This window comes from Homo sapiens, chromosome 21, assembly GCF_000001405.40.
Source record: "Homo sapiens chromosome 21, GRCh38.p14 Primary Assembly".
In the NCBI taxonomy this organism is placed as follows: Eukaryota; Metazoa; Chordata; class Mammalia; order Primates; family Hominidae; genus Homo; species Homo sapiens.
In genome coordinates, this window is record NC_000021.9 from 43,538,352 (window position 1) to 43,565,965 (window position 27,614).

The 27,614-nt window shown below is 41.9% G+C and overlaps 2 protein-coding genes and 1 pseudogene across 18 annotated transcripts in view; 2 read left to right on the top strand and 1 right to left on the bottom strand.

Annotated features, from left to right (window-relative positions):
• The window catches only part of HSF2BP (heat shock transcription factor 2 binding protein), a 214,517-nt gene that overhangs the window by 93,380 nt on the left and 93,523 nt on the right, over positions 1-27,614 (bottom strand). The gene's annotated exons all lie outside the window — the stretch shown is intronic.
• Positions 12,846-13,220, top strand: RPL31P1 (ribosomal protein L31 pseudogene 1; annotated as a pseudogene).
• Positions 26,831-27,297, top strand: H2BC12L (H2B clustered histone 12 like). The gene has a single exon (NM_017445.3). The coding sequence runs from the start codon at positions 26,888-26,890 to the stop codon at positions 27,266-27,268; it is 381 nt and encodes a 126-aa protein (NP_059141.1). The 5' UTR covers positions 26,831-26,887; the 3' UTR covers positions 27,269-27,297.

Consider the following 27,614-nt stretch of genomic DNA (forward strand, 5'->3'; position numbering starts at 1 on the left):
TATCCTGCTTCCCCCAGACTACTGTAATAGCCTTCTTGGTGGCTTGCTTATTTAATTTTGCATTCTTGCCTCTTCCTACCCCTATCCATCTGCCATGCTGCAGCTAGAATTAAACTGTTTGTTTGTTTGTTTCTTTCTTTGTCTGAGACAGAGTCTGGTTCTCTTGCCCACGCTGGAGTGCAGTGGCATGATCTCAGCTCACCGCAACCTCCGCCTCCCAGGTTCAAGTGATTCTCCTGCCTCAGCCTCCCGAGTAGCTGAGACTACAGGCACATGCCACCATGCCCAGCTAATTTTTGTATTTTAAACTTTTTAAACAGAAATCAGAATACACACCTTCCCTGCTCTCCCACAGATCCTCACTGCACTCATGATGGAGACCCAAGTCCTCGTTCTGGCTGATGAAGCCCCGCCAGATCAAGCCCTCCTGCTTCCCGGCGTTCCCCTCGTATCACTCATCCATCTGCACCATGCCCCAGGAGCGCCAGCCTGCTCTGCATTTTCTTAACCAGAATGTTCCTGCCCCAATCTTCACATGTCTTGCTCCTTTCAAATCTCACTCAGTAGAGCAATTCCAGCTCCAACATGCTGAGAACTAAGCTCCGATTTTTTAAATCTTGCCCAAATTCCTACCTAAGGGGTCTGGGGAGTCATGCCCTACAAACCATGGATTCTCATCAGATGAGTTGTATTTGACCCTATATATTGTGACTTACTTTTCAATCTGACTCTGGCATAACATTATGAGACAAGGACAAAATATTTAACTCCAAAATATATTTCCTTGCCATGCCCTGAAATTGCCCTGCAAAGTCTTTTGTGGGAAAAATCCACATTCTACAGAGAATCCCCTTCCTCTTTTATTTTCCTTCCTTTCTTTGCAGATCCAGGAGATAATCAATTAAGAGCCAGGCACCCTTTTAGGTCTGATAAAAAACAATTTACAACCTGCTCTCTCTGAAGTCTGCTATCTACGGGCTTCCTCTGCACAATAAAACTTGGTCTCCGCAATCCTTTATCTTTAACCTGAACATTCCTTTCCATTGATCCTAGGTCTTCAGACAACCTCAACCAGTTGTCACCCAGAAAATGTTTAAATTTACCTATCACTTGAAAGCCCCTGCTTTGGGTTGTCCACCTTTCTAAACTAAACCAACGTAATTCTTAAACATATTTGATTGATGTCTCATGCCTTCCTAAAATACATTAAACCAAGCTGTACCTCAACCACCTTGAGCTGAATGTTCTCAGGACTTCCTGAGGGCCGTGTCACAGGCCCTCATTATGGTCACTCATAATTAGCTCAGAATAAATCCCTTCAAATATTTTACAGAGTTTGACACTTTTTGTCAACAATGCAAAGAGCTTAGAAATCAGCACTTCCATCCTTCACTAAGAAAAGCAGAACAAACAAATCAATGACTTTTCTTGGACCCATCAAAGAATTAAGGCCACCATGAAATCTGGAGAGTCACAACAAGATCTGCTTCCCTGGAGGAAAAGCTGCTGTAGCCATACCGGTGGGAACATTTAAATGACAAATTGTTGGAAGCTGAGGGTGGACAACCATGAGAATCAGGAACTCCTGGGGGTCGCAGTCTTAGGGGGGCCCCATATTTTTGTGGATTTTGTCTCTAGGAACCCCATGAGGTTCTCAAAGTGCGAAGAAAGCTCCCTCGTGGCTCTGGCAGGGGGACAGGAAGAGTAGCCATTATGAATACACCCTGTTTCCAGGGAAAGACCTCACCAGAGCCTTATCTCACCTAAAGGGAAGGGCTTTTCTCCCACTCCAGGCCTCTCTGCCATCCCTGACTTACCTAAGCAGGGGAGGGGGTTAAGAAACACTTTTGAAGACCAAAGCCCAGAGACACAGGCCCACTAAAAGATTGAGATGATAAATACTTCTCCTCTCCACACACACCTTAAATCATACCAACAGAGATGAGAGAGCATAACACGCAACAGGGATTTTTAAAACGGTATTATAGCTGAGAGAGCTGAAAGACATCAATTCCATCTAAGGAGGAATTCTTAGGGAAACCCAAAGGGAAGAGGGGAGAATAAACAAGGATGCTAGAAGAGTATAAAGCCTCTGTCCCCTACAGTAAACACAGCCCAACTCCTAGCCAGATTACCAAAACACCTCACGCTAAAGGCCTATTTTCCTCAGTCCCCATTACACAATAAATCATGTCCAGCTTTCAACCAAAAATTGCAAGGCATTCTAAAAGGAAAGAAAAATCACAGTCTGACGAGACAAACCAAGCATCAGAACCAGCTGCACAGATGACAGATTTTAGAAGTATCAGATAGGGAATTCAGAATATCTATGATTAATATGCTAATGGCTTTGTATTAGTTTGCCCAGCCTGCCATAACAAAATACCACAAACTGGGTGGCTTAACAACATGAATTTATTTTCTCACAGTCTCTAGAGGCTGGAAGTCTGAGATCAAGTTCTCAGCAGGCCTGCTTTCCTCTGAGACCTCCCTCCTTGGCTTGCAGACGCCACCCTCTTGCTGCCTCTTCATGTGGTCATCCCTCTGTGCACACAGGCCCCTGGGGTTTCTCCATGTATCTTCATCTTCTCTTCTTATAAAGACACCAGTCTCACTGGACTAGGGTCCACCCTAATGGCCCAATTTTACTCTAATGAAAAGTCCCTATCTCTAAATACATTAACATTCTGAGAGACTGAGGGTTAGAACCTCAACATATAAATGGGGGGTGGGGAGGGGGAGAACACAATTCAATATATAACAAATTCTAATGGCAAAGTAGAAATATGAAAGAACAGATGTATAATATAAACAGAAATGGAAATTCCAGAAAAGAATCACATTTCAGCTTACATATTCTCTCCTCACAGAGGCCATCCCTTATCGCCCACTCATTGTCAAGCCCATTAACCTATTTTAGTTCTCTCAATAATAGTTATTCTATGAAATAGGAATAAGTGTTCTTCCTTAGTCTGAAAGCTTCATGAAAGCAGAACATTGGCTGTGTTGTTCACCACCTTACAGTAAGGGCTCAGTAAATATTTGCTAAATGAATGGAAAGGATTTATTTTATGTGGCTAAGGCTGATGGGATACAAGGGACACAAATGATAAGGAAATTTCTGGACAAATTGCATCACTAGTCAAGCTGAAGAGATAGCTATGTGAGCCCCCTGAAAGGGTAAAATAAAACAGGCCACTTTATCCATGAGACAAATGCTGTCAAGGGCACAACCCAAATGGAACAACCTCATGAGGACATCATCCTAAGGAAAACATGGAACAACTTCATGAGGACGTCATCATAAGGAAAACACTACAGCAGGGTGACAGCCTTTGAGGGGAACACAGACGAAAAGAATGTGAATGGCTGATAACGCACCAAAACTCTGCTCACAACATAGGTAGAAGAATAACACAGAGCTCAGGTCTAATCATGAAAAGCCTCATTACTTGAGACTGAGAACATTTACGATAGTCATGGCTGAACTTTGGGTTTAAAGACACATGAGGCAACTTAAATGAAAAAGAAAATTGCCTGACATCAGCAGAAAGATGACACAGATGTTCAAATTATCTGATATGATTTATGGTGGTTTTAAATCGGCCATCAAAAAATTTCTTTAGTGAGCAACTGTGCTAGAAACCAATGAGAAAAAAACAACATATAAAGAAAACCAAAATGGAAAAATTAAAACAGAAAAAATAAAATAACTGAAATTAAAATCTTGGTGAAGACAGAATGGAGGGGACAGAGGCAAAAAAAAAAAAAAAAAATCAGTAAATTGGAAGATAGGACGACAGAAACTACCCATTCTGGGTAACATTATCAAGATAGCCAGCTAGAAGTGCCTAGCATTCAACCCCCTCACAGAGACAGCCAGAACAATGAATACACAACTACATGTTAACAAAAACAACTGAGGGAGAGTGCTAAAGTGCATTAGAGGAGTAACAGAAACCCTGGCGAGCCCAGAAATTCATGATAGTCACAAAAAGAACAGAAGGAAATGCCGGGCCCCTGGCACCCCATCCCCTAACCAGGGTCAGCTAGAACCCAGGAAAACACCTCCCTTCAGTGAGGAGGTAATCAAGAGGACCCCAGCAGCCCCCACCAACACCGTGGACACCCACCGCCCTCACCCTTGGGGTCCCTTGCAGTCCTCACAGGCACGAAGCCCAGGGTGGAGTGAGCTGCCTGGAGGCCACACCACTGTGCTCCCGCCGGAGAAGGAATCGACACTGTGCCTGCCCCCGTGGCCCTCACGGTGCCCTCTTGGAACTGGAACTACTGCTGGAGTGTATCTTGTTCCTGGGGTAGCAGCCCCAGCTCCCCTTCACCCCTGAAGCTAAGCCGCTGCCCAACCACCCCAGCCCAGTGGCCCCACATCCCCCAGCCAAGCTGCAGGCAGCTGTTACACCTCCTCTGTGGGGCCAAGCAAAGGTGGGGCCACTCCACTACCCGCTCTTGCCCCCTCAGGCTGGAGCTAAAGCCATAAACGGCCTCCAGGGAAAACAATACCTTGGCTGCTCAGAGCAGTCATGCCTCCTGGAACCCAAGTTGAAGAAGCACTCTGCATCCAGGGAAATGCCTGGGCCACCCAGGACAGTCCCGTCCCTCAGGCCTGAGTGGAAGCGACACACCACCGCAAGGGGAATCAGTGCCCTGGCTGAGCTGAGCAGCTGCACATCCCAGGGCTGAGCTGATGCAGTGCCCTACATCCCAGAGAAACAGAGCAGTAGCTGAGCCCAGACATCCCACCTTACAGGCCAAACAACTCAACTGCCTGCTTCCCTAGAGCTGAACTAGCCCCCCACCCCAGTCTGAGCTGCTGAGACACCTCTCTCCCTGCAGAGTGGAGTCATGGATACGCTGCTTCCCACCCTCCTCAGGGCCCCAGTGACAGGTGTGCTCTGTCATTCTGGGGTACGTTCTCCTGCCACACATGGCCTCACAGAGTCTGGGATACTTACAAGCCCCACCATCCCAGGGTCTTGAGTCATTATTACACAGTGTCACATCCCCTGGGACCGGAGCTGCCACTGAGCCCTGTTGGCTCCGGTTCCGGAACTGCAGCCATACCCTGGCTCCCCAGGCCCAAGCCCCCAGAGCACCCCTTCTTCCTCAGAGTTCCGCCAGTGCTGTACCCTGCCCCACCCCCTGGGGTAGAATCACAGTTACAACCTGGCCCCCTGGGCCCGAGCTGCTAGAGGGTGCCTCAGAGTCACAGATCCTGGCTCTGAGGGCCACCTAAATCCAACCCTGCCATAAGAGAGCAAACCTGTACCCCAAGACCCACATGCCACAATAGGGGTCGCAACCCAGCCCTGCAACCATTACAAGCACCTACACCTGGAACCCAGCACCATGGCAGCTGCTTGTAGGCCATGTCAGAGCAGACATCAAAGGAATTCCCCTCAGCTAAGTCTCCCCATTGCAAGGAAAATGAGACCAGGAGGACCCCAAAAGCCCTTGATACCAAGGACATTAACAACTTACACTGTCACCACCACTGTAACAAACTTCTATAGCCTGGGCCACTGAGGCTAACACTGAACACAGCTGAAAAAGGTTCATGGAGACTATACCACTGCACCTAACCAGCAACAGTCACTACACCTTTCCTAAATGGCACACTAAAACCCAATTTCAGGTAAAAGTCTCTCTCTACAAAAGCCATGCTAGAAAATCTGGAAAAGGCAATTATTCCACCATATGTACAGACATCAATGCAGGGACACAAGAAACATCAAAAAGCAAGGAAATAGGACACCACCAAAGGAACATAATAACTTTCTAGGAATAGAAGACCCCATCAAAGAGAAAATCAGTGAACTGCCAAAAAGAAAAATTCCAAATGATCTTAAGGAAACTCAATGAGACACAAGAAAATACATATAGACAATTCAACAAAATCTGGAATTCATGATCCAAACAAGAAATTCAACAAAAAGTCAGAAATCATAAGAAAGAACTAAACAAATCCTGAAGCTGAAGAATTCAATGAATTACATTTAAAATACAATAGAGAGCTTCAACAGCAGACTTGATCAAGCAGAAGAAAGAATCTCTGAATATGAAGACAGGTCATTTGAAACTGCCCACTCAGAGGGGAGAAAGAAAGAAATAAGAATGAAAAAGAGTGAAGAAAGTCTGCAAGACTTATGGGACACTATTAAGCAAATGAATTTCATATAATGAGAATTATAGAAGGAGAAGAGAGATAAGGGAAGAGGTATAGAAATCCTACTTAAATAATAGCCAAAAACTTCAAAAGTCTGGGAAGACATATGGACATCCAGGTCCAGGAAGTTTAAAGGTCCTTAAATAGATTCAACCAAAAAAAATTATTCCCCAGGCACACTGTAGCCAAATTGTCAAAAATCAAACACAAAGATAAAATTATAAAAGCAGCAAGATAAAAGCATCAAGTCACATACAAAGGAATCTTCATTAGACTAGCATAAAATTCTCCACAAAAACCTTACAGCCCAGAAGAAAATGTGATGTAATATTCAAAATGATGGCAGAATAAAATTGGCAGCCAAGATTATTATACCCAGCAAAGTTATCCTTCAGAAATGAGGGAGACATAACGTCTTTCCCAGACAAGCAAAAACTTAAAGGAATTCGTCACTACTAGACTGGCCTTACAAGAAATGCTCAAGGAAATCCTACATCTGGAAGTGAAAAGATGATAAACACTCTCTTAAAAACCCACAAAAGTATAAAACATACTGGTACAGCAGATACACAAGGGAGAAAGAGAAAAGAATCAAGCCTTATCATTAAAAAACCTCACTAAACCTCAATGATAAAAAACAAGATAGGAAGAAGGAAACAAAGACTATACAAAACAACTGCAAAACAACAAAATGACAGGAGTAAGTCCTTACCTATCACTAATAAAATTAAATGTAAACAGATTAGATTCCCCCACTTAAAAGACATAGACTAGCTGAATTAATTTGAAAAAATATTAACTCTCTAGTAACAGACCCCAGTGAAAAGCAAACTACATATTGCCTACATGTAACTCATGTCATTTGTAAAGACACATATAGACTGAAAGCAAAGGGATAAAGAAAAGATATTCCACACAAATGAACACCAAAAGCAAGCAGGGGTAGCTTTATTTATATCAGTTAAAATAGATTTTATGTCAAAAACTATAAAGAAGGTCATTATATAATGTTAAAAAGATCAATTCAGCAAGAGGATATAACAATTCTGAACATATATGCACCCAACACTACAGCACCCAGATATATAAAGCAAATGTTATTAGATCTAAAGGGAGAGATAGACTCCAATATGATAATAGTTAAAAATTTAAACACCCCACTCTCAACATGGAACAGATCACCTAGACATAAAATTAACAAGGAAACTTTGGCTTTAACCACACATTAGACCAAATGGACCTAACAGATGTTTACAGAACATTTCATCCAACAGCTACAGAATACACTTTCTTCTTATCAGCACACAAAACCTTTTCCAGGGTGGACCATGTTAGGACACAAAACAAGTCTCAACAAATCTAAAATAATTAAAATTATAGCAAGTATCTTTTTTGACCACAGTGGAATAAAACTAGAAATCAACAATAAGGAACTTTCAAAATTGGGCAAGTATGTGTGAATTAAACAACCTGCTCCTGAACAATCAATGAGTCAACAACAAAATCAAGAGGAAAATTTTAAAATTAATTGAAACAAATGAAAATCAAAACACAATATATCAAAACCAATAGGATATAGCAAAAGCAGTGCTAAGAGGGAAATTTAGAGCAATAAATGTCTACATCAGAAAAGTGGAAAGATTTTAAATAAATAAGCTAATAATGTATTTCAAGGAAATACAAAAGCAAGAACAAACCAAACCCCAAACTAGTACAGGGAAAGAAATAATAAAGATCAGAGAAGAAATAAATAAAATTAAGGCCAGATGTGATGGCTCATGCCTGTAATCACAGCACTCTGGAAAGCGGTGATGGGAGACTCACCTGAGCCCAGGTATTCAAGACGAGCCCGGGTAACAAAGCGAGACCCCGTCTCTACCAAACAAACAAAAACACCCACTTGTCAGGTGTGGCAGCGTGTGCCTATAATGCAAGCTACTCAGGAGGCTAAGGTGGGAGGATTGCTTGGCCCCAGCAGGTCAAGGCTGCTGTAAGCAGTGATTGTACCGCTGCACTCCAGCCTGAGTGACAACAAGACCATGTCTCAAAAACAAAACAAAATTAAGAGTAAAAAGCAATACAAAATATCAACAAAACAAAAAGTTGGTTTTTTGAAAAGTTAAACAAAAATCAAAAACCATTAGCTAGAGGAACCAAGAAAAAGAGAAAAGACCCAAATCAATAAAATCAGAAATGAAAAAGGAGACATAACAACTGATATTACATAAATAGAAAGGATCATGAGAGGCTATTAAAAAGAACTCTATTCCAACAAATTAGAAAACCTAGGGGAAATGGATAACTTCCCAGACACATACAACCGACCAAGAAGAACAAAGAAGACACAGAAACCTGAAGAGACCAGTTACAAGTAACAAGATTCAATCTGTTAAAGAAAAGCCCAGAATGGGATGGCTTCACTGTAGAATTCTACCATGCATTTAAAGAACTGATACCAATTCTTCTCAAACTCTTCCAGAAAATTGAGGAGGAAGGACTTCTTCCAAACTTATGCTATAAGGCCAACATTACCTTGATACCAAAACCAGATAAGGACACAACAACAAAAACAACAGGCCAACATCCATGATAAACACGGATGCAAAAATTCTCAACAAAACACTAGCAAACCAAATACAGCAGCATATTACACAGATCATTCACCATGATCAAAAAAGATTTATGCCAGAGATGCAAGCATGGTTCACCACATGCAAATCAACAGATATTATACAACATATTAATAGAATTAAGTGCAAAAACCATATGGTCATCTCAACAGATAAAGAAAAAGCATTTAATACCATCTGGCATCGCTTTATGACAAAAACTCTTAATAACTTAGGTACAGAAGCAACACAATAGAGGCCATATATGACAAACCCATAGCCAACATCATAATGAACAGGGAAAAGCTGAAAGCTTTTCTTCTAAGATCTGGAATAAGACAAAGATTCCCACCATCACCACTCCTATTCAAGATAGTACTGTAAGTCCCAGCTAGAGCAATTAGGCAAGAAAAAAATAAATAAAGGGCATCCAAATTGGAAAAGAGGAAGTCAAATTGTCCCTGTTTACAGACAACATTATTGTATACACAGAAAACTCTAAAAGGTCCACCAAAAATTGTTAAAATAAATGAATTCAATAAAGAAAGTTGCTGAACACAAAAATCAACATGCAAAATTCAGCAGCATTTCTATACACCAATAACACAATCTCAAAAATAAATCAGTGAGGCAATCCCATTTACAATAGCTACAAAAAATATTTAGGAATAAATTTAACCAAATTTAAACATGAAGTAAAAGATCTCAAAAAGAAAAACTATAAAACACCGATGAAAGAAACTGAAGACACAAACAAATGGAAAGACATCCCATGTTCATAAACTAGAACAATAAATATTGTAAAAATGACCATACTACCAAAAGCAATCTACAGAATCAATGCAATCCTTGCCAAAATACCAATGACATTCTTCACAAAAAAAAAAAAAAAACAGAAAAAACAATCCTGAAATTCATAATGGAAGTACAAAAGACTCCAAATAGCTGAAGCAATCCTGAGCAAAAAAAAACAACAACAAAAAAAAAAACAGACTATCACACTACTCTACAAGAATGGCTAGACCACACAAAATCTTGTATAGGAATGTTAATCTAGCAGCATGATTCATAACATCCAAAAAGTGGAAATAACCCAACGTCCATCAAATGATGAATGGGCGAACAAAATGTCGTATATACACATAATGGGATATTAGGTCATAAAAATGAATGGTGTACTGACACATGATACAACATAGATGAATTCTGAAAACACACTAAGCCAGACACAAAAAGCCACATACTGTACAACACTAATTTTATAAAATGTTCATAATAGGCAAATCCATAGTGACAGAAAGCAGATTAGTCATTGCCAGGGATGGAGTCACTGCTAATAGGTATGGGGGTTTCTATTGGTGGCAATGAAAATATTCTAAAATTAGACAATGGTAATGCTTGCACAACTCTGTGAACATACTAAAAACCACTGAATTGTGTATTATGAATGAACTTTACAGCATGCAAATTATATCTCAATAAAGCCATTTTTAGAAAAATGATGTGAGAAAAATAGAAAAATTCTAACAAGAGCTAAAGATTATCTAAAAATATCATACCAATGTTAATTTTGTGGTTTTGGTAACTGTTCTATGGTTATGTAAGATGCTAACATTAGGGGAAGCTGGGTGAGAGTTACTTGCTACTATTTTTCCAACTTTTCTATAAAGTGGGGCCAGGCATGGTAGCTCACTCCTGTAATCACAGCACTTTGGGAGGCTGAGGTGGGCAGATCACCTGAGGTCAGGAGTTTGAGACCAGCCTGGCCAACATGGTGAAACCCATCTCTACCAAAAATACAAAAATTAGCTGGGCACCTGTAGTCCCAGCTACTCTGGAGGCTGAGGTGGGAGAATTGCTGGAACCTGGGAGGTGGAGGTTGCAGTGAGCTGAGATCATGCCACTGCACTCCAGCCTGGGTGACAGAGCAAGGCTGTCTCAAAAAAAAAAAATCTGGATGTCAAAATAAGGTTAAAATTTACATAGGGTAAACTGCATAAATCTTATGAGTAAAATTAAGGTCTAACAGAAATGCATGCACCACAAAAAACATCGCTCTGTCAAGATACAGTGTGTCTCTCCCCCTGCCATGAAGCTCCCTCATGCCCTCCTGTCCCTTCTAGGCAGCCCAACCCATAAGTGACTGATGCTCTGGTTTCTACCACCCTAGATTAGTTCTGCTTATTCTTGAAAATCACAGGAATGGAGCCACACAGAAAACAAACCCCAATAAAGCACTATTTCACTATTAAAGCTCTGGCAAATGAAAATAAATAAAATTACATTCTGCTTGGTTTCTTCTACAGTTTCTCAGTTTAGTCCCCTCTTGACATTCTGGGGCTATTTTCTCCTCACAAAGTTCTATCAAGAGCTTGGATGGACATGAAAACCCTGCCTGTATCTCACCACGTTTCCTCCCAACAGTAGACAGATTTTTTTTGTTAATGTGCTCGCTCATTAAACCATTTGTGAGTGGGAAGGAGTATGGGGCAGAGAATCTACGCTGGTGACCTGGAGCAGCCAGCGTAACAAGAGGGCCACCAACAACTCTGAACACTGAAACAATCTCAACCAGGCACTCGGAAAGCTCCCCTGGCTGATGGCCTCCAGCTGGAAGGTCTCAAGTCACAGGTCTCTGCCATGGACAAATGCTTCTGGTAAGCATACGGCCACTCAGTCACATCTATCAGCAGCAGCAGCATCTGGCAGGAACTGTGCCTGTGGCTAGGCTTAAATAACTGCACCAATCCACGCTGAACAGCTGAGAAGCAACTGAGTCTACCAGCTGTGCCAGTTCAATTCACAGGCATCCACTGCAGGCCCAGCCACTGGACAGAGGATGTACTGCTGGGCAATGACTGGTTATCATTACTGGCAGGCAACATTCTTCCCTACTCTCTGCAGGGATTTGGGGAGAAAACTCAGAATGAGAGGTAAAGATGTAACCATGCTTCAATAAAATGATGAGGAACTTTAAAATCCCATTTCTTTATACACACAGCCAAACTGAAACATCTTATCCTAAAGCTGGTGCACGCTGACTTAGGTTCCTTAGAAAGAAGGCTCCACCAGGCACGGGCATCTGTCTGATAGGAAGCAAGGTCTACAAACTCCCTCCTTGCCCATACTTCTCTTCACCGCCCCTTCCTATTCTCCATGTCACACTCACTGTCAACATCAAGGTAGCTCAATGTTTCCCAAACTGGGTCCCTCAGGACACTAGTTCCCCACAATGGTAAGAGGGTTTTCATATGTCCCACGCTCACACCCAGTGGGAAGGGGAAGGGAGGGAAAAACAAAATGGCACTCAGAGTTAAGTCACAGCTAACTGAGAACAAGGAGATGGCACTGAGACACCCTAGCTCCACATGCCCTTGTGATAGCTCTTGTCGCAGGCATTGATTTCCCAGTGCCACATTTCTCAGACATGGGCACTCATGCTAACACAAAGAAAACTCACCAAACTCGGCCTGGAGGACACCCTGACAGCTATGCTGGCTCCTTGGTACTTGCTGGTGGGCTCCTCAGGCACATGCTCACAGGGCCCTATTGTCAACCACACCTTCAAATGACAATAAACAAATCTATCTTTACTTATCTGCTAATTGTCTGTTTTTCTAAAACTCACACATTAAATGCATAAACTATAATAACACATGAGGCACACTGAGTGTGCAGCACCATGTGGAGGCGCAAACACAGACTCTGGAGTCACTCACCAGCAGCCCCTCGGCAAAGCCATGTCACCTTGCTAGGCCTTTGTTTTCTCATCTATAAACTGGTTTTAAATTCTCTACACCACTATTATAAAGACTAAATAAAGGAGGAGATACCAGCAAAACTGTCTATCACACTTGGTAGATAGTAGGCATTCCATAAACAGTAATTTCCAAATTACACAAACTAAAGCCTCACCCCACCCCCATGCTCTCCTCCAACACCCCATGCCTGCCACATGGGCCTCTGGCTCTGCTAACACACCCCACCTCGGGCGCTTGTACATGTTGATCCCTCTGGCTGGAACGTGCCTTCCCAGACACCCTAAGAGCTTGCTTCGCTTCCTTTCCAACTTGGGCCTGGCAGAATGGCTCCTACAAAGGGTGGCGAGAAGAAAAAGGGCCGTTCTACCATCAACAAGGTGGTGACCTGAGATACGCCATCAACATTCACAGCACATCCACAGAGTGGCCTTCAAGAAGCGTGCCCCTCAGGCACTCAAAGAGATTTGGAAATTTGCCATGAAGGAGATGGGAACTCCAGATATGTGCATTGATACCAGGCTCAACAAAGCTGTCTGGACCAAAGGAATAAGGAATATCCCATACCGCATCCGTGTGCGGTTGTCCAGAAAATGTAAAGAGAATGAAGATTCACCAAATAAACTCTATACTTTGATTACTTATGTACCCGTTACTGCTTTCAAAAATCTATAGACAGTCAATGTGGATGAGAACTAACAGCTGATCATCAAATACATCAAATAAAGTTATAAAATTGCCTTAAAAAAAAGAGCTCACTTCCCTCTTCTTTCAGATCTTCGTGTGGATGTCAACCGCTCAGTGGTCTTCCATGACCACTCTAAAATTAAAACACAAAAGCTACCCCTCTCAGGTCTCCCGCCCTTTACCCTCCATGGCATTAAATATCACAGAGTCCACAGTGCCCTGCGCTGCTTTACTGGCGCTGCTGTCTCTCCTCACTGGCTAGCTCCATGAAGGCAAGGACTTGGGGCTGTCTGGCTTGCTGCTGTGGCCTCAGTGCCTAGAACAGGACCTGGCACGTAGTGGTGAGTGAATTAGTGATGTTTAGTGATAGACACTGTTTCTAATTATGTAATTAGAAAGAAGGAGGACTACTACTAAGTGTAAATCTGATTAAAGATATTGAAGACCTCCATTCAGAAAACTACAATACCCTGTTGAGAGAAAGACGGCCCTAAGCAGTGAAGAAATGTATCATGTCATGTACTGGAGGTCTCAACACTCTAAAAACGTCAATTCTTCCAAACTGATCTACAGATTCCATGAAATTTCCATCAAAATCAACACGGTGTCCTTTGTGGAATTTGACAGGCAGATTCTAAAATTTATATGGAAAGGAGACAATAATAGTGAAGGCATTTTTTGAAGAAAAACAATGTTCGTTCTAGGTATCAAAAACTTATCCATCTTGACAAGAGGCAATGTAGCACTGCAGGATGGGAGACTGGCCGAGTGCAATGGAGAGCACAGACACAGACCCCACACACGTGTGGGCACCGAGGAGAGTGGGGAAAGCACAGTGCCCTCCGCAGTCAGTGCTGGGTCTGTGAGAACCCTGGGGAACGCTTAACTTGACCCCTATCACAGAGCATGCCCAAAGATAAATGCAAAAGGCAAAAAGAGAAACCGAGGAGAAAATATAGGCAGATATATTCATGACCTTGAGGTAAGCAGACATTTTCTTAACAGGATACATTAAGCACTCAGAGTACATTCAAATCAGGAACTTCTGTTCATCAAAACATACCATTAAGAGAAATAAAGCAAGACATGGAGTGGTAAAATAAATGCGCAACTTTAATAAAATCAAAAAAGATTCTGTATCCAGAATATACAAATTCAGACAACCTAAAAGAAAAAAAGGCAAGAGCTCTGAATAGGTTGTGACAAAAATGGATATCCAAATGGCCAGTAAACACAGGAAAAGGTGCTCCACTTCAGAACTCATAAAAACAATGCAAATTAAAACCACAATGAGCCAGCCCTCCATCCCCACAGAATGGCTACAATGAAGATCTCTGACAATACCAGGTGTTTCCAAGAAAGAAAAGCAACCAGAACGCTCCTTTGCTGTTGGTAAATGTTCACACCTGATATAACCACTTTGCAAAACAGCCCAGCATAAACTACTAGAGGTGAAGACATGCACTTCTATAGATCCCAAACTTCCATTCCTAAAGATAAACGCAACAGGAAAACATGCACATGTCCTTTACCAAACGACAAGTACAAGAATGTTAGAGAAGTACTATTTGTAAAGGCCAATAACTAGAAATAATCCAAATGTGCATCAATAGTAAAATGGATAACTAAACTGGTAAATTCATACAATAGAATACAGGTTGAGCATCATCAATCTGAAAATCCAAAACCCAAAGTGCTCCAAAGTTGGAAACTTTTTGAGTGCCAACATGATGACACAAGTGAAAAATTCCACACCTGACTTCACACGACAGGTTACAATCAAAAGGCAGGCACACAACACACAGTTTATTCAGAGTCACCAAGGGAAAAGAGACCGTTCAGGTCCCTTTGGCTGCGATGTCTTTTCCATGCAGGCCCGGATTCCCCAATGCAAGCACACCCACAAAGGTAATAAAATGGTGTGTGTGCAGGCCAGTGCACCAAGGGCAGGTTCCCCACATTGCCCCATGGAGGGCCAGTAAATACTGTTAAATACTTAGGTGTGCATAAGTGAGAGAAAATGACTGCTTGTCAGCCACTTATAAATTCAGAGTCAGGAATGATGGTGATGCAAACAACCACAGAATGTCTACATGGGCGGCTCAGAGAGTGACACCTTTACTTTCTGATGGTTCAACATACACAAATTTTGTTTCATGTACAAAATTACTAAAAGTACTATATAAAATTACCTTCGGGCTATGTCTATCACAGGTATATGAAATACATATGAACATGTTTAGACTTGGGTCCTATCCCCAAGGTATCTCATTATGGATATGCAAATATTCCAAAATCCAAAACAATCTGAAATCTGAAACACTTCCTGTCCCAAGCATTTCAAATAAGGGATATTCAACCTGTACTATAGAGCAGTGGTTCTCAACCAGGGCGAGGGGCATTTTGCCATCCCAGAGGGCAATCTGAACATCTGGAAACATTTTTGATTGTCACAAGTGGGAGACACTATTGGTATCTGGTGGGTAAAGACCAGGAAGACTGCTAAAATCCCTACAGTGAACAGGGCAGCCCCACAGCAGAGCATCATTAAGCCTGAAACGTCAGCAGTGCTGAGAAACCCTACGAGGTGGCAGTGAAAATGAACCACAGCTACATGCAACAGCACGATGGACCTCACTAGCAAAGTGCTCAATGAAAAAGCCAACATCAAAGTATGGTTTCATTTATATAATGTTCAAAAATGGGAAAATGGGAGTGGGTAGTGATGAGGAAGAAGCACACGCATTTCCTGGGTGCAGGCAACATGCCATTTCTCACCCTGGGTGGTGGTGAACAAATGTTCCTTTGTAATTATTCTCTGAGCTTCACTTTTATGTTTCTGTACTTTTCTCTAGGTATGCTGTGCTTCTCATTAAAAATGTTTTGAGACCAGGCATGGTGGCTTATGTCTGTAATCCCAGGACTTTGGGAGGCCGAGGCAGGTGTTTCACTTGAAGTCAGGAGTTCGAGACCAGCCTGGCCACCATGGCAAAACCTTGTCTCTAGTAAAAACACAAAAATTAGTTGGGCGTGGTGGCACACGCCTGTAATCCCAGCTACTGGGGAGGCTGAGGCAGAAGAATCGCTTGAACCTGAGAGGAGGGGGTTGCAGTGAGCTGAGATTGCACCACTGCACTCTAGCCTGAGCAACAGAGTGATACTCTGTGTCCAAAAAAAAAAAAAAAAGGGTTTTGAGGCTTCAAGATGGCTGACTAGACAGATCTGGTGCTCACCTCTTCCACAGAGAAGAACCAAAATAGCAAGTAATCACACTTCAAATAGATAACCTAAGAGAGAACTTTGGAATTCAACAAAGAAACATTCAGAAACACCAAAAGCAAGGAAGGAAAGAAAACCAAGGCAGCTTGCTAGGCTGGGATCAACTGGGAGTCAGCAGTGGCTCCCTAATTGGGGGAAAGGGTAAGTGAAAGACCCTTCCCAGCAGTTCACATTGCTGCTGTGGACTTCTACAATCCACAGCCCTGGGAGAGTCCTTCAATTCTAGAGGACCCCAAGACTACTGCGGAGAGCTGCCTGAAGACTGTACAAAGGCACTGCTCCACAGAGAGCCCACGCTGGGTGCCACAACCCCCCAAATCCTAAGCTGCTGTGGCATGGCACCACTTGGAGAGTACAACCCCCAATGAACTGCAGCCTGCCCCGCCACCAGGGTGGAGGTGGGAGCCACAGGGAGTGATCCCCCACACCATCCCTGCAGATGGGTAGCCATGTATTTTCATGAGCTCCAAGGTCAAAGTCGACTACCTGCAACTGCTACCACTATGAGCTGCTGCAGGCCTGAGGTGAGGTGCAATCAAAGCCCATGCCCCCTAGGTGCCTGACTACAGCTGCTCCCAGGGAAAGAAACCCTGCCCTCCCCAGTAGCAGGGACACAATGAAACTCTGGCCACCCCTACCTGAGCATTCCACGGGAGGCCTAGGAATCACCTCGATGCTACTTACCACAGCCAATAACTACACTCCCCACCAAGGGACCTGAGGGCAGGTCCAGCCAGCCTGCCTCCACCATCCCTCCCTAGAACCAGATCACACTGTCCAGGGGCCTGGGGATCACCAGTAGCATCTCAGCAGAGTCTCCCAGAGTGGGTCAGGCCCACTCAGCTTGCTGCTACCACCACCGCTGCGACCCACCCATATGTGCCACCTGCAGGTCCAAGGACCAGCCCACCCAACCTGTCACAGCCGTCACAAACATCAGCACTTTGGAAAACAGCCCAGCATAAGCTACCAGAGATGAAGACCCCAAAGGGCTGTCCCACCACTGCTGTTGCCATCACCCACACCACAACTGCTGTTGCCATCAACCACACCACACCTGCTGCTCAGGGGCTCAGGAACCCACCCACCCACCCAACCCACCACTGCCATTCCTAGTACCCAAAGAAGCCACCTGGAGGCCCAAGAACTGGCCTGCCTGGACCTACTAACACTGGTGCCAGTGTACACCACCCTGGGGCCTGAGGACAGGCATGCTCAGTCCACCACTGCCACCACTGGGGCCAAAAGACTGGCCTACCTGGCACCCAGGTCAACAGCAAAATTTCACCACAGCCTCCACTAACAACCATACCCTAAGCCATTAAGAAAATCATAGATATCATTAATGCTGTTTACAGCCAAAGAAATCATACAGAGACTACACTACTGCACACACCCAGATTCAAAACCAAAGTGCCCTACCTACCAATACCACAGATACATCTTCGGGAAAATGTCCTCTCCTACGAAAGTAAATTCAAAAAACTTAGAAGAAATGACCATTATACCACAGAGATACTAATGCAAGGGTACAGGAAACATGAAAAAGCAAGAAAATATGACATCTCCTAAAGAAAACAATTCTCCAGCAACAGATTCCAATCAAAAAGAAATTTATGGAATACCAGGAAAATAATTCAAAATATTGATAGTAAGGAAGTTCAATAGCATACAGGAGAATGCTGAAAAATACAAAGGAATTTAAAAAGCAATTCAGGATAAGAATGAGAAATTTGATCCAAGAGATGGATATTGTATTGGTCCTTTCTCACGCTGCTAATAAAGACATACCCAAGACTGGGTGATTTATAAAGGAAAGAGGTTTAACTGAAAGAGGTTTAATTGACTCATAGTTCAGCATGGCTGAGGAGGCCTCAAGAAACTTACAATCATGGCAGAAGGTGAAGCAAACACATTCTTCTTCACACAGAGGCAGGAAGAAGTGCTCAGCAAAGGGGGAAAAGCCCCTCATAAAAACATCAGATCTTGTGAGGACTCACTCACTATCACGAGAACAGCATGGGGGTCACTGCCCCCACGATTCAATTACCTCCCACCAGGTCCCGCCCAAGACATGTAAGGATTATGGGAACTACAATTGAAGATGAGATTTGGGTGCAGACATAGCCGAACCTTACCAGGTATCATAAAGAAGAGCCAAACAGAAATTCTGTAACTGAAAAATTCATTGAATGAAATACAAAACAAATTCAAAAGCTTCAATAATAACTAGAGAAGCCAAAGGAAAAAAATCTCAAAACTTGAAGGCAGACCATTTGAAATAACCCAGAGAGACAAAGATTAAAAAAAAAAAAAAAAAGAATTAAAAAGAATCAGCAAAGGCTTTGTAACATATAGGACATCATAAATCAAATATTCAAATTTTTGGTGTCCCAGAAGGTAAAGAAAAAGCAAACAGAAACTTATTTAACAATAGATGAAAACTTCCCAAGTCTAGAAAGAGATTTAGACATCTAGATACAAGAGTCTCAATGATCCCCAAATAGATAAAATTCAAAAAGATCCTCTCCACAGTACATTACAGTCAAACTGTCAAAAGTCAAATACAAAGAGAAAAATTTAGAAACAGCAAAAGAAAAGCATCTAGTCACCCACAAAGGAACCCTCATCAGACTAACGGATTTCTCAGCAGAAACCTTACAAGCCAGGAGAGAATGTGATGATACATTCAAAGTGCTGAAAGAGAAAAAAAACTGCCATTCAAGGATACTATTTGCAGCAAAAGTATCCTTTATAAATAAAGGACAGATGAAGTATTTCTTGGACAAGCAAAAGCTGAGGGAATTCATCACCACTAGACCAGTCCTGTAAAAAATGCTTAAGGAAGTCCTACACCCAGAAGTGAAAGAACAGTAACTATAATCATGAAAACATATGAAAATATAAAAACCACTGGTAGAGCAAACACAGAAAAAAAGAAAAAACTTAAATGTTACCACTACAGATCACCACCAAACCACAATAATAAACAACAAGAGAGAAAGAATGAAACAAAGGATATACAAAACAATCAGAAATCAAGTAATAAAATGACAGAGGTAAACCTCACATATCAATAATAGCCTTGAATGTAAATGGATTAAATTTTCCACTCAAAAGATACAGACTGGCTCAATGAATTAAAAAAAAAAAAAAAAAAAACATGACCCAACTACATGCTGCCTACACAAAATTCATCTCACCTGTAAAGACACATATAGACTAAAATAAAGGGACAAGAAAAGATATCCCATGCAAATGGAAACAAAAAGCAAGCAGGGGTAGCTTTATTTATGTCAGATAAAACAGATTTTAAGTCAAAAACTGTAAAAAGAGACAAAAGAAGGTCATTATATAATGATAAAAGTATCAATTCAGCAAAAGGATATAACAATTCCAAACATATATGCACCCAACGCCAGAGCACCCAACACCAGAGCACTAGATAAAGCAAGTACTATTAGATCTAAAGGGAGAGACAGAATGCAATACAATAATAGTTGAAGACTTCAACACCCCACTCTCGGCATTGGATCACTCAGACAAAAAATTAACAAAGAAATATTGGATTGAAACTGCACATTAGACCAAATAAGCCTAGCAGACGTTACAGAACTATTTCATACAACAGTTACAGAACACACATTCTTCTCATTAGCACACAGAACATTCTCCAAGATAGACCACATGTTAGGACACAAAACAAGCAACAACAAATTTTTAAAAATCAAAATCATTCAAGTATCTTTTCAGGCCACAGTGGAATGTAACTCAAAATCAATAACAAGAGGAACTTTGGAAACTACGAATGCATGAAAATTAAACAATATGCTCCTGACTGACCACTGAGCCAAGAAAGAAATTAAGGAGGAAATTTTTAAAAAGTCTTGAAAACAAATGAAAACTGAAAAACATACCAAAACCAAATGGGATACAGCAAAAGCAATGCTAAGATGGAAGTTTATAGTAACAAATGCCTACATCAGAAAAAGTAGAATGATTTCAAATAAATAATCTAGCAGTGCACCTCGAGGTACTGGAAAAACAAAAACCAACCAAACCCAAAATTAGTAGAAAGAAACAAGTAATAAAGATCAGAGAAAAAAAAAACCACAAAGGATCAACGAAATAAAAAGTTGTTTTTTTGACAAGATAAAATTGATAAAGCACTTCCTAGACTAACCAAGAGAAGACACAAACAAAATCAGAAATTAAAAAGGAGACATTACAACTGATACCATGGAAATACAAAAGATCACCAGAGACTATTATGAACAACTATACACTAACTACCTAGAAAACCTAGAGGAAATGGATAAATTCCTACACACATACAATCTACTAGATTGAATCAGGAAGAAATAGAATACCTGAACAGAGCAATAACAAGAAATGAAATTGAATCAGTAATAAAAAGTCTCCCAGTGAAGTCCAAGACTGGATGGCTTCACTACCAAACTTCTACCAAACTTTCAAAGAATTAACACCAATTCTCCTAAAACTATTCCAAAAAATTGAAGAGAAAGGGATTCTCCCTAAATCACTCTATGAAGTCAGCATTATCCTGATAGTAAAACCAGACACGGATGCAACAAAAAAAGAAAAGTATATGCTAGGCCAGGTGCAGTGGCTCACACCTGTAATCCCAACACTTTGGGAGGCCGAGGTGGGTGGATCATGAGGTCAGGAATTCAAGACCAGCCTGGCCAACATGGTGAAACCCCGTCTCTACTAAAAATACAAAAATTAGCCAGGCATGGTGGCATGCATCTGTAATCCCAGCTACTTGGAAGGCTGAGGCAGAAGAATTGCTTGAACCTGGGAGGCAGAGGTTGCAGTGAGCCGAGATCACGCCACTACACTCCAGCCTGGGTGACAGAGCAAGACTCCATCTCAAACAACAACAACACAAAAAAAAAAAGAAAAGAAAAGACAATTATAGGCTAACATTCCTAATGAATATAGACTTAGAAATTCTCAGCAAAATACTAGCAAACTAAATCCAACGGCACATCAGAAAAATAACACATCATTATCAAATGGAACTTAACTTATCCCAGGGATTCAAGGATGGTTCAACATATGCAAATCAATAAACATGATACATTACATCAACAGAACAAACGACAAAACCATATGATCATTCAACAGATGCTAAAAAAGCATTTGGTAAAATTCAACATCCTTTTATGATAAAAACCTTAAAAAAACTAAGGATAGAAGGAATATACCTCAACAAAATAAAGGCCACGTGTGACAAATCCACAGCTAACATCATACTAAATGAGAAATGCTGAAATCCTTTCAGCCAAGAACTGCAACAAGACAAGATGCCCACTTTCACCACTCCTATCCAACATAGTACTGGAAGACCTAGCCAGAGCAATCAGACAAGATAAATAAATAAAAGGCAGCAAAATTGGAAAAGAAGAAGTCAAACTGTCCTTCTTTGCTAAAGATATGATCTTCTACCTAGAAAAATCTAGAGTCCACCAAAAAACTGTTAGAACTGATAAATCCAGTGAAGCTGCAGGATACAAAATCAATATACAAAAATCAACAGTGTTTCTATACACCAACAATGAACAAGCTGAGAAAGAAATAAAGAATGAAGTCGCATTTACAACAGCTACCAAAAAATTAAAATACCTAGGAATAAATTTATCCTAGGAGGCGAAAGATCTCTACAAGGAAAATGACAAAACACAGAAGAAAGAAATTAAACAGGACATAAACAAAAAGACATCCCATGTTCAAAGACTGGAAGAATTAATAGCCTCAAAATAATCATACTGCCCAAAGCCATCTACAGATTCAACGCAATCTCTATCAAAATACCAATGTCATTTTTCACAGAAATTGAAAAAAAATCTTAAAATTTGCATGGAACCAAAAGAATCCAAATAGCCAATGCAATTGTGAGCAAAAAAAAAGAAAAAAGAAAAGAAAAAGAAAAAAGCAAGAGGCATCATATTACCTGACTTCAAAACAGATTACAAAGCTTTAGTAACCGAAACAGCATGGTACTGGTATAAAAACAGACACACACACCAATGGAACAGAATCCAGAATCTAGAAATAAATCCACGTATTTACAACAGAGGTGCAAGAATATACCTTGGGGGAAGGACAGTCTCTTTGATAAATGGTGCTGGGAAAATTGGATATCCATATGCAGAAGAATGAAATTCGATCCCTATCTCTCACCAAATATTTAAAAAGCAACTCAAGATGGATTGAAGCTTAAATGTTAGACCCAAAACTAAAAACTACTAGAAGAAAATATAGGGAATACACTTCAGGACATTTGGTACAGGCAAATATTTTATAGCTAAGACCTTGAAAGCACAGACAACAAACAAAAATAGACAAATGAGACTATATTGAACTAAAAACCTTCTGCACAGCAAAAGAAACAACAGAATGAAGAGACAATGTGCTGAATGGGAGAAACTATTTGCAAACTATTCCTCTGACAAGGGGATCTATCTAAAAGGAACTCAAACAACTCAAATAAAAGAACAAATAATCCCATTAAAAAGTGAGCAAAAGATTTGAACAGATATTCCTCAAAATAAGCCATACAAATGGTCAATAAGTATACAAAAAAAAACCACTAATCATCAGGGAAATGCAAACTGAAATCACAATGAGATATCATCTTACCCAGTTAGAATGGCTATCACTAAAAAGACAAAAAACAGATGCTGGCGAGGATGTGGAGAAAAGGGAACTTTTACACATTGTTGATAGGCATGTAAATTAGAATAGCCACTACAGAAAACAGTATGGAGATTTCTCAAGAAACTAGAAATAGAACTACCACGTGATCTAGCAATTCCACTTCTGGATATTTATCCAAAGGAAAAGTAATCAATATATCAAAGGGATACCCCCATGTTTATTGCAGCACTGTTCCTAATAGACAAGAGACAAAATCAACCTACAAATGTCTGTCAACAGGTGAATGGATAAAGAAAATGTGGTATATATACACAGTGGAATACTGTTCAGGCTTAGAAAAGAATGAAATTATGTCATTTGCAGCAACATGGATAGAACTGCAGGTCATTAAGCGAAATAAGCCAGACACAGAAAGACAAATTTTGCATGTTCTCACTCATATGTGGAAACTAAAAAGTGGATCTCATGAAGGTTGAGAGTAGAGTGACTGATAGCAGAGGCTGGGAAGGGTCTGTGGGTTGAAGTGGGGATGAGAGAGGTTGGTCAATACAAACACAGTCAGATAGAAGGTGTAAGTACTAATGTTTGAGAGTAGAGTAGGGTGATGATAGTTAACAACAATGTATACTGTATTTCAAAGTAGCTAGAAGTATGTGAAATGTTCTCAATACATATAAATAATACTCAAGGTGATGGATACTCCAAATACCCTGACTTGATCAGCCTGATCAGTATATATTCTATGTGTGCAATAAAATATCACATATCACCCCATAAATATATAAAATATTATATATAAAAAAGCCTGAGAACAGAATGAAGGGAAGAATAAAGGAAGAGAAGGATGATGGAAGGGGAGGACAGAGAGAAGAAAAGAGAAAGAAAAAGAAACATTTGCCAAAGTCCTTCCCATATCTCCTGGTCAACTGAACTCGTGTTCTCCCAGACCCATGAACTCGGCAATAGGGTTCAGCAACTTCTGCCTACCCACCCTAACCCTTACTGACACATCCACTCCGATTCCTGGCTCTACCAGGATCCTCATGGCCTGGGCTCACATCCTGCTCTGCCACTTGCTCCCTGGGTGAATCAGCACTGACCTGGCAGGGCTGGCAAGTTAATGCATGGAAAGTGCTCACAATAGGGCTCAACACAGAGGAAGCACTGAGAACTGCTCACGATCACCACCATCACCTCATCAAGTACTTTGTACTGTCTGAATCTAGTTCATTTAAGTCTTGCCTTCTCGGCAAATTTCAAGTTCTGTCACACAGTATGCAAGGTGGTAACCCTCACAGATCCAAACCAGTGCTGTGTACACTCCCAGCTGACATTGCACCTGAACACATACCACTGTGGTGAGCAGGGTTGGCTGGACCCATTGAGATGTGCCTGCATCACAGTGAGGCCTAATGCACGTGAAATGCCTGGAGTTTCCCAGTCAAGTAGGAGTTGCTGTCCATACCCTGCATCAGGGACTATGTTCATGGGGTGTGCCAGCCCAGGCTGTCTGTCAATGCGTGCTCCCACACTGTCTAGTAGACTAAGATCTGATATCAGGTAAATTCTAAAAATAAATAATGCCAAACATATCTTCGAAATAAGCTACATGTCATCTGCCGCAGCACACTCAGCCAAGCAATAAAATCTACTTGGTTTTCCTCTGCTCTTTGCAGATCCTTTTCCTTTAAGCTAAAGAAATAGGTGCCTTGAGCATCAAACTGTAATTTTAAAATATCCTGAAAGCCACAGATGTTCTCAACTACAATCTAAGTAGTCATTCAAATCATGCCTTGTACACTGCTATTTGTTCCAAGTGACCAGCGAGCATTTTTAAAAATCTCTTATTTCTGTCAAGTTCTTCATAAATCTTTTTGGCCTTTCATGGTGTTGTTTCTTCTGACGGCAGCTGCCCTTGCCCTACACCGACATCTGATCATTTCTCTCAGATGATTACAGTACCCACCAGCTCTTACATATAAATGTCAATGTGTGTTACTCTGGAAACAACATGAAGGACATCTCTACAATTACTTCTCTGCAGTAAAGAAGAAAAAATTAAATGGGCCAAGAAAAACATCCCATTGAATTTTTTAAAACTAGTTTTATAAACCAACTGTATTAGTCCATTTTCACGTTGCTGATAAAGACATATCTAAGACTGGGAAGAAAAAGAGGTTTAATGGACTTACAGTTTCACATGGCTAGGGAGGCCTCACAATCATGGTGGAAGGTAAGGAGGAACAAGTCACATCTTACATGGATGGCGGCAGGCAAAGAGAGAGCTTGTGCATGGAAGTTTCCATTTTTAAAACCATCAGATCTCATAAGACTTATTCACTATCACGAGAACAGCACAGGAAAGATTCACCCCCATGATTCAATTATCTCCCACCAGGTCCCTCCCAGAACACATGGGAACTGTGGGAACTACAAGATGAGATTTGAGTGGGGACACAGAGCCAAACCATATCATTCAGCCCCTGGCCCCTCCCAAATCTCATGTCTTCACATTTCAAAACCAATAATACCTTCCCAACAGTCCCCTAAAGTCTTAACTCATTCAGCATTAACTCAAAAGTCACAATCCAAACTCTCATCTGAGACAAGGCAAGTCCCTTCTGCCTATGAGCCTATAAAATCAAAAGTAAGGTAGTTACTTCCTAGATACAATGGGGATACAGGAATTGGGTAAATATAGCCATTCTGAATGGGAGAAATTGGCCAAAACAGAGGGGCTACAGGCCCCATGCGAGTCCAAAATCCAGCAGGGCAGTCAAATCTTAAAGTTCCAAAACAATCTCCTTTGATTCCATGTCTCACATCCAGGTCACGCTGATGTAAGAGGTGGGCTCCCATGGCCTTGGGTAGCTCCACCCCTGTGGCTTTGCAAGGTATAGCCCCTCTCCTGGCTGCTTTCATGGGCTGGCATTGAGGGTCTTCGGCTTTTCCAGGTGCACGGTGCAAGCTGTCAGCGGATCTACCATTCTGGGGTCTGGAGGACGGTGGCCCTCTTCTCACAGCTCCCCTAGGTGGTGCCCCAGTAGGGACTCTGTGTGGGGGCTCCAACCCCACATTTCCTTTCTGCACTGCCCTAGCAGAGGTTCTCCATGAGAGCCCCATCCCTGCAGTAAACTTCTGCCTAGACAACCAGGCATTTCCATACATCCTCTAAACTCTTGGCAGAGGTTCCCAAAACCCAATTTTTGACTTCTGTGCACTGACAGGCTCAATACCACATGGAAGCTCCCAAGGCTTGAGGCTTGCACCTTCTGAAGCAGGACCTGAGCACTATGTTGGCCCCTTTCAGCCATGGTTGGAGTGACAGGGACACAGGGCACCAAGTCCCTAGGCTGCACAAAGCACAGGGACCCTGGGCCTGGCCCATGAAACCACTTTTTCCTCCTAGGCCTCTAGGCCTATGATGGGATGGGCTGCCACAAAAGTCTGTGACATGGCTGGAGACATTTTCTCCACTGTCTTAGGGCTTAACATTCAGCTCCTTGTTACTTATGCAAATTTCTTTAGCCAGTCTGAATTTCTCCTCAGAAAACAGGATTTTCTTTTCAATCGCATTGTCAGGCTGCAAATTTTCCAAACCACTTCCCTTATAAAACTGAATGCCTTGCATTACTTCCCGTTTTCACGATCTGCTGCTCGTCTCAGGCTCGTAGTTCGCCTTCAACATGCCGGAGCCAGCGAAGTCCGCTCCCGCGCCCAAGAAGGGCTCGAAGAAAGCCGTGACTAAGGCGCAGAAGAAGGACGGCAGGAAGCGCAAGCGCAGCCGCAAGGAGAGCTACTCCGTATACGTGTACAAGGTGCTGAAGCAGGTCCACCCCGACACCGGCATCTCCTCTAAGGCCATGGGAATCATGAACTCCTTCGTCAACGACATCTTCGAACGCATCGCAGGTGAGGCTTCCCGCCTGCCGCATTACAACAAGCGCTCGACCATCACCTCCAGGGAGATCCAGACGGCCGTGCGCCTGCTGCTGCCCGGGGAGTTGGCCAAGCACGCCGTGTCCGAGGGCACCAAGGCCGTCACCAAGTACACCAGCGCTAAGTAAACTTGCCAAATTGATGCCTGCAGCTCCTGGGGAAAGTGGAAGTCAGATAACTCCTTTATGAAAAGGCAGCATTCAAAAACTATAAAAAATATAAATCCAACATTATTAAAATTTTGCACATCCAAAGATATCACGAACAGTTAAAAACAAACCCACAAGGTGACAGAATATATTTGTCACATACTGACAAAAAGTTAAAACTCAAATATATAAAGAATATTTACAAATCAAATCTCATAAAATAAAAACTGTAGAGAATCTGAATAGACCATTCCAAGGAAAGTGGGAAAATCTCCAAATAGCCAAAAATCTCATTTAGAAAAACTCCGATTTCACATTAGGAAAT